Consider the following 6303-nt stretch of genomic DNA (forward strand, 5'->3'; position numbering starts at 1 on the left):
GGCCCAGGTAACTCAGGTAATGCAGGAGTCACTCTGCCCCAAACCACCCCCTCCAACCATCTACCTGGGGTCTGGGTAGATGCTGTTCTGAAAATCTGGGAGCAAACCAGTTCCAACAACTGGTTTTGCTTTGGAATAAAGAATATTCCTTTTTTTTTTTTGGAATGCTCTTGTATTCCAAAATTCGTATGGCTACCAGAAAGTCATGTGCCTCCTCCCATGCCCTGGAATCTATTTGCCCAGGCTAGCAGTGAGACCACTTCTTCTTTTACGGCCTGAGCTCCAGAAGCAGAGTGGCCTGATGGCATTCTGGTTGTCTCCCATCCAACCATCCCTGAGTTTCATGGGAAGCTGCTTTCAGCGGTGAGGCATCGGTGGGCCACAGTAAGCCAGGGAAGAGTCTTTTAGAGTAATTTACTTAAACTCTTGCTTCCAGGCCTCAGGGGTTTCATCCTTCACTCAGGAAAAATATACTAAGTATCTCCAAGAGACAATCAAGGGGAAAATCATGGCACAGCACTTTAGGAAAATGTATCAACAAGTGAAAATATCAGCAGATTTACTAGAGGAGGGTGAGGGCAGCCCTCTAGTTGGGAAGTCAGATCTTTGACAAAAGAGTTTAAAACTCCCTGATAAGCATTTTGTTGACAAGGTCAGTCTTCATTCTTTCTGCCAAAATTAGAAACCACCCTTTTTTCCTTGTCATAACAACACTGGTGCTTATCACCAATTGTGTGAAGGGAGAAGAGTGATGTCCTTTAGGTCTGAAGATTGACAATATAGAGGAGGGAGCTCTTAACTTCCAAAACCACCCAGTCCAGGAACTATTTTCCCTTTTCCCTCTTACCAGACACCCAGATGGAAATCTGCTCTTTAGAGAAGGAAGGAAATGATACAAGGAAAAAGACATCTGCAAATGAGTAAGCTTTGCCCAGGAGGCCACGTTAAGTGAGGTGGATGGAAACGTAAATCATCCGAGAGAGAGAGGGAGAAAGAGACTCTAACCCTGCCTGCCTGGCTCTGCTTTGCAAAGATGCTCACTCACCACCACCTCACGTGCTCAGTGATGACCGCAATAATGTAGTTGTATTTTCTTCCCCATTCTAGCGTGGGGTAACTTGCAATACTGAGCAGTTTATGGGCCTTCCCCTACGCACTCTGCAAGTTCCTGGAAAAACAAGGAGTTGGCATGCCACATTTCCAGCCCCTCGGCCCAACTGCTTCAGGACCCCTGCCTGCCAGCCTCCATACGTCAGGGCCACAGTTTCAGATGCTCATTCAATGACCTCACACTTGCTCTAGGACAGGGGCAGCAGGCACATGGCTGATCCAAGTTTAGAGCAGAAATACGCAAGACAATTGCAGTTATAAAAGGTACACGTCAGTGGTGGGAAGGTCACTGCTAAAGTGAAGCAGGAAAGACATGATTTCTTGGGATGAGGGTAAGAGCACTTCAGAGAAGCTTGATTACTCAGAAGGCTGCAGTTCTGCCCAAGGAGGGGATGCACACAGACAGGCCTGTGATCAAAGCAATGTTCCAGGGTAGAAGGGCAATACTCAACCTAACTCAATGTGAAAACGCCAGTCCTTTTTGTCTCGTTTTTCCTGCCTTAGATTTAACCCATTCTGGGATGGGCAGGGAGAAAGAAAGACCTTCCCCAAGAAGTGCTGACCAGGCAGTTGTGTTTGTGGGGAGAGCCTTCCTGACAGCAAAGAAGGAAGAACTAACTTCCTTTGCCATGAACAACTCAGAATCCTGGGGGGTTTTTGCTGCTGTTTTCTGGCTGTTTTTTGGCCTTGCTCTGTTGTTCACTGCAACCTCGACTCCTGGGCTCAAGGAATTCTCCTGCCTCGGCCTCCCAAGCAGCTGGGACTACAGGTGTGCACATCACATCCAGCTAACTTTGAAGTATTTTGTAGCGATGGGGATCTCACTATGTTGCCCAGACAGTCTCAAACTCCTGGCCTCAATCAGTCCTTCTGCCTCAATCTCCCAAAGTGCTGAGATTACAAGTATGTGCCACCACACCAGGCTTTAGAATCCTGTTCTAAAAGTTCTTTCTTATTTGACCACCATAGCTTCTTATGAAAAAAAAAAAAAAAAAGCCAGGAAGACAGCTTTCATATGAAGGAGAAGTGGTGGACCCAGGCGCAAAGTGGCTGAAGGCGAGGAAGAAACCAAGAAGTGGAGAGAAGCTCCAACTCTAGGGTACTCAGTGACCATGAGGGAGAGAGTGGTCCAGGGTGGATACTAACGCAGCCCTGCAGTGAGGAAAGGGACCCCTGGAGGGTGCAGTTTAAGGGCTTAGGAGCTCCTTGCCCTCAGGCTGTGCCCCCAGAGCTCTCATCCCTCGCCAGCCTGCACCGTGCACTCCACACACCCCACACATGCACACACACACACCATGATACAAAGGAGTCTCCTGACACCATGCAGGGCAGTAGGCAGTGGCTCACCCCAAGCTACAGGTTGAATTGAGCAACCTGGGCTGGAACAGTGGAGGTCAACACATACCAGGAATACTCATTAATTGGAAAACAAAGGGATTTTGTGACAATCTGAGGTAAAGTGAGTTTGGGGAAAATTACATCATAACCTCTACTTAAGGCTGAACGATGTCATGATAGCCAGCCTCCAGGTGGCCCCCAAAGATCTTGCCTCTGTGTCTTCACACCCTTGTAGGGTCCCCTTCTCACATCAATTCAGGGCTGGTAAGTGTGACTGACAGATTATGTGATACTGTTTGAATACTTATCCCCTCCAAATCTCGTGTTGAAATTTGACTCCCCAGTGTTGGAGGTGGGCCCTGGTGGGAGGTGTTTGGGTCACCGGGATGGATCCCTCATGGCTCGGTGCCATTTTCACAGAGTGAGTGAACTCTCACTCTTGTTCCCATGGAAACTGGTTCCTCCTCCTCTCTCTTGCTTCCTCTCTGGCCATATGATGCCTGTTCCCCTTCACCTTCTCCATGAATGGAAACATCTGAGGCCCTCACCAGAAGCAGATGCTGGCACCATCCTGTGGAGCCTGCAGAACCACAAGCCAAATAAACCTCTTCTTGTTATAAATTTCCCAGCCTCAGGTATTCCTTTATAGCAACACAAATGGACTAAGACCGTATGGCAGGGGCGATGATGTCTGACTTCCAAGTCTCCCTCCTGTGGGGCATTGCAGCTTCTGCCTTGTTCTCTGGGAGAGGCTGGCCTGCATACCATGAGGATCCTCAAGCAGCCCTGTCAAGAGAGGCCCACAGAAAAGAGCTTAGGGCTCCCACCAAAAAGCCTGGCATTTTGAAAGTGGATCCTCCAGCCCTAGACCAGCCTTCAGATAATACAGTGCCAGCCAACATCTCAACTGCAACCTCAGGAAAGACCATGAGCCTGAACAACCCAACCAAGCTGCTCACACACTCCTGACCCACAGAAACTGTGAGTGGTATCAATATTTATTGTTGTTTTTAGCCACAAAGTTTTGGGATAATTTGTTACATAACAATAGATACCTAATACAAATATATATTATTTAGCATATTAGAATCTTAGAGGGAGTCCTGCAGTAAAAAAAAAAAAAAAATTAAGTATTTAACTTTTTTTGACTCATTGTTTCACAAGTGCTCTGGTTATATTACATTTTTTTTTTTTTGAAGAATGCCTCAATAACATCTCAGGGTGCTACTGTTGCACACAACATAGTTTGGAAAGATCTGGGCTGGCTATGCTAGTATTTATACAAGAGTTTGATGCCAGATAAATTACATCTAATAAAACCCACTTGAATAAAAACTTAATTCCCCCTTTTTTTTTTTTTTTTTTTTTTTTTTTTTTGAGATCACCCAGGCTGGAGTGCAATGGCATGATCTCTCTCGGCTCACTGCAACCTCCACCTCCCAGGTTCAAGCAATTCTCCCTGCCTCAGCTTCCCCAGTAGCTGGGATTATAGGCGCCCACCATTACGCCCAGCCAATTTTTGTATTTTTAGTAAGATGGAGTTTCACCACCTTGGCCAGTCTGGTCTCGAACTCCTGACCTCAGGTGGTCTGCCCACCTCGGCCTCCCCAAAGTGCTGGGATTACAGATATGAGCCACCACACCCGACCTAATTCCAATTTTAGAAACATAACCACATTGCAAACATTTAGGTAGTTAAATGAATCTAAAGGAAATTTTTTGTTAAGTTAGCATTTTGAACATGGAAATATAACTCCCATCCCATCAGCTTTAACTGTCTTGGTTTTTGTAAATTTGAAGCTTATTTTTTATGACTGTATTTAAAGCATTTATAAAATGCAATACATAAATATATATATATATATCTCCTGGTCATTAAGAACTTTAACCCAAGCTGCTGGTTAAAATGGGTCAAGGTGACTTGGCACAGGCCCCAGGCATCAAAGAGGGCAGGAGAGAAACCCTGAGCCACAGTCCTGCATGCCACAGTGGAACCACCCCAGCACACTCATCCAGAGAAAACCCATCTCCTTTCTTTTTCTTTCTTTTTTTTTTTTTTTTTTTTTTTTGAGTTGAGTCTCACTCTGTCATCTAGGCTGGAGTGCAACAGTGCAGTCATGGCTCACTGATTCCAGCGATCCTCCTGCCTAAGCCTGCTAAATAGCTGGGACTATAGGCATGTGCCACCATGCCCAGCTACGTTTTTTAATTTTCTTAGAGATGAGGTCTTGCTATGTCCCCAGGCTGGCCTCCAACTCCTGGGCTCAAGTGATCTTCCTGCCTCTGCCTCGCAAATCACTGGGATGACAGGCCTGAGCTACTGTACCCAGCTCTATCTACCTGTTTTGAAGGATAAGATAACTTAATGCTGAGAAGGGCTTCAAGGAGCTAAAAGTGAGTGTGGCCTAGAAATCCATACACAAAGTCCCCCTTTAAGGTGGTTTTTTCATGGAAAGACCTGGGCACCAGGAGGAGGGCTTTGAGCTCTTGGGGCCTCCTTCCAGTCTGCATGGCACAGTGACCTCGGACTGACTCCTGGCACAGCCCTGACCTGCTGTGTGACCTCAGACATGTATTTACCTCTTCTGAGCTGCACTTTTTTTACCTGCAGAATGGGGATAATAATACCTACCCCCCGGGACTCCCAAGCAGATTATGTGAGAGCAGGAAGAACCGGTACTTCCCCAGTGCCCTGCTTTGCCCCCAGGTGTCTGCCTCCTCAGGAACCAGGTAGACGAGGCATGAATTCCACGGCATTAAGGATTGTAGGCCGGGCACGGTGGCTCACGCCTGTAATCCCAGCACTTTGGGAGGCTGAGGCAGGCGGATCAGGGGGTCAGGAGATCGAGACCATCCTGGCCAACATGATGAAACCCCGTCTCTACTAAAAATACAAAAATTAGCCGGGCGTGGTGGCACGCGCCTGTAGTCCCAGTTACTCGGGAGGCTGAGGCAGGAGAATTGCTTGAACCCAGGAGACGGAGGTTGCAGTAAGTTCAGATGACGCCACTGTACTCCAGCCTGGCGACAGAGCGAGACTTTGTCTTAAAAAAAAAAAAAAAAAAAAAAAAAAGATTATAGACATCAAGGGAAATCCCATTTACCACAGGGACCAATTAGGGGAGATTTTCTTCACTACAAAAGGAGTTTTTGTTTTGCAAAAGGATTCACTTAAAATAGCTTATTGCCTCAACTAGGAAGCCTTCTTCTTTTACAGTTTACAGACAATTAACTGCTTAGGAAATTAATATATGTGCTGCCGAAGCAAGCACAACTGCTTAGGAAATTAAAAGAGGCAGCACTCAGGGGCACTCCGAGATCAGTCAGAAATGCAGCGGTTCTGATAGGATAATGTCAACCAAATGTAAATATTTATAAAAACCAATTGTACACCATTTCTGAGGAATATTCTTAATGCAGGCAGGCTCTCCAACACCAGCGTGCTCCCCTGGTGCTCCAGCATCAAAGACAGCCTCATATCCACTGCTGGCAGGCAGAGGCAGGCTGCTGCTCCCCTACGCTCACCAAAACTGGGCCAGTGCCTGGCTAAGTGATTTCAATTTAGTAGTGAAAAATGAGTTATAATTACATTGTCAAGAAGTCAGTTCACGTACTCTCCCCAGCTTGAGTCTCGAATTCTCCTCATTAAACAGAACACATGCTTGTTTCATGAAAAAAACACCTCTTTTCCTGTTCCAATTTGTTGCCTCTGAAGATTCCACAGGATGTGCAAAGCAGGAGGCTGTCTGGCCCCTGGGGACCACAGTTGTGTAGCCCCCGTCACCCAGCAAGCTGATATGATGCCAGGTGCCTGCAGGTAAGTGGCTGGGTACCCAGGACACAGCGCCTCCTCCA

General features: G+C 46.7%; 3 annotated features.

Annotated features, from left to right (window-relative positions):
• Positions 2341-2841: an enhancer, noted in NCBI's record as "H3K4me1 hESC enhancer chr1:229295511-229296011 (GRCh37/hg19 assembly coordinates)". NCBI's record gives its function as "activates a minimal SCP1, AML or CMV promoter by ChIP-STARR-seq in primed H9 embryonic stem cells {active_cell/tissue: H9 hESC(primed)}" and the evidence as "EXISTENCE:reporter gene assay evidence [ECO:0000049][PMID:30033119]".
• Positions 4734-5234: an enhancer, noted in NCBI's record as "H3K4me1 hESC enhancer chr1:229297904-229298404 (GRCh37/hg19 assembly coordinates)". NCBI's record gives its function as "activates a minimal SCP1, AML or CMV promoter by ChIP-STARR-seq in primed H9 embryonic stem cells {active_cell/tissue: H9 hESC(primed)}" and the evidence as "EXISTENCE:reporter gene assay evidence [ECO:0000049][PMID:30033119]".
• Positions 5235-5735: an enhancer, noted in NCBI's record as "H3K4me1 hESC enhancer chr1:229298405-229298905 (GRCh37/hg19 assembly coordinates)". NCBI's record gives its function as "activates a minimal SCP1, AML or CMV promoter by ChIP-STARR-seq in primed H9 embryonic stem cells {active_cell/tissue: H9 hESC(primed)}" and the evidence as "EXISTENCE:reporter gene assay evidence [ECO:0000049][PMID:30033119]".

The sequence above is a fragment of the Homo sapiens genome, chromosome 1, assembly GCF_000001405.40.
Source record: "Homo sapiens chromosome 1, GRCh38.p14 Primary Assembly".
NCBI classification, from domain to species: domain Eukaryota; kingdom Metazoa; phylum Chordata; class Mammalia; order Primates; family Hominidae; genus Homo; species Homo sapiens.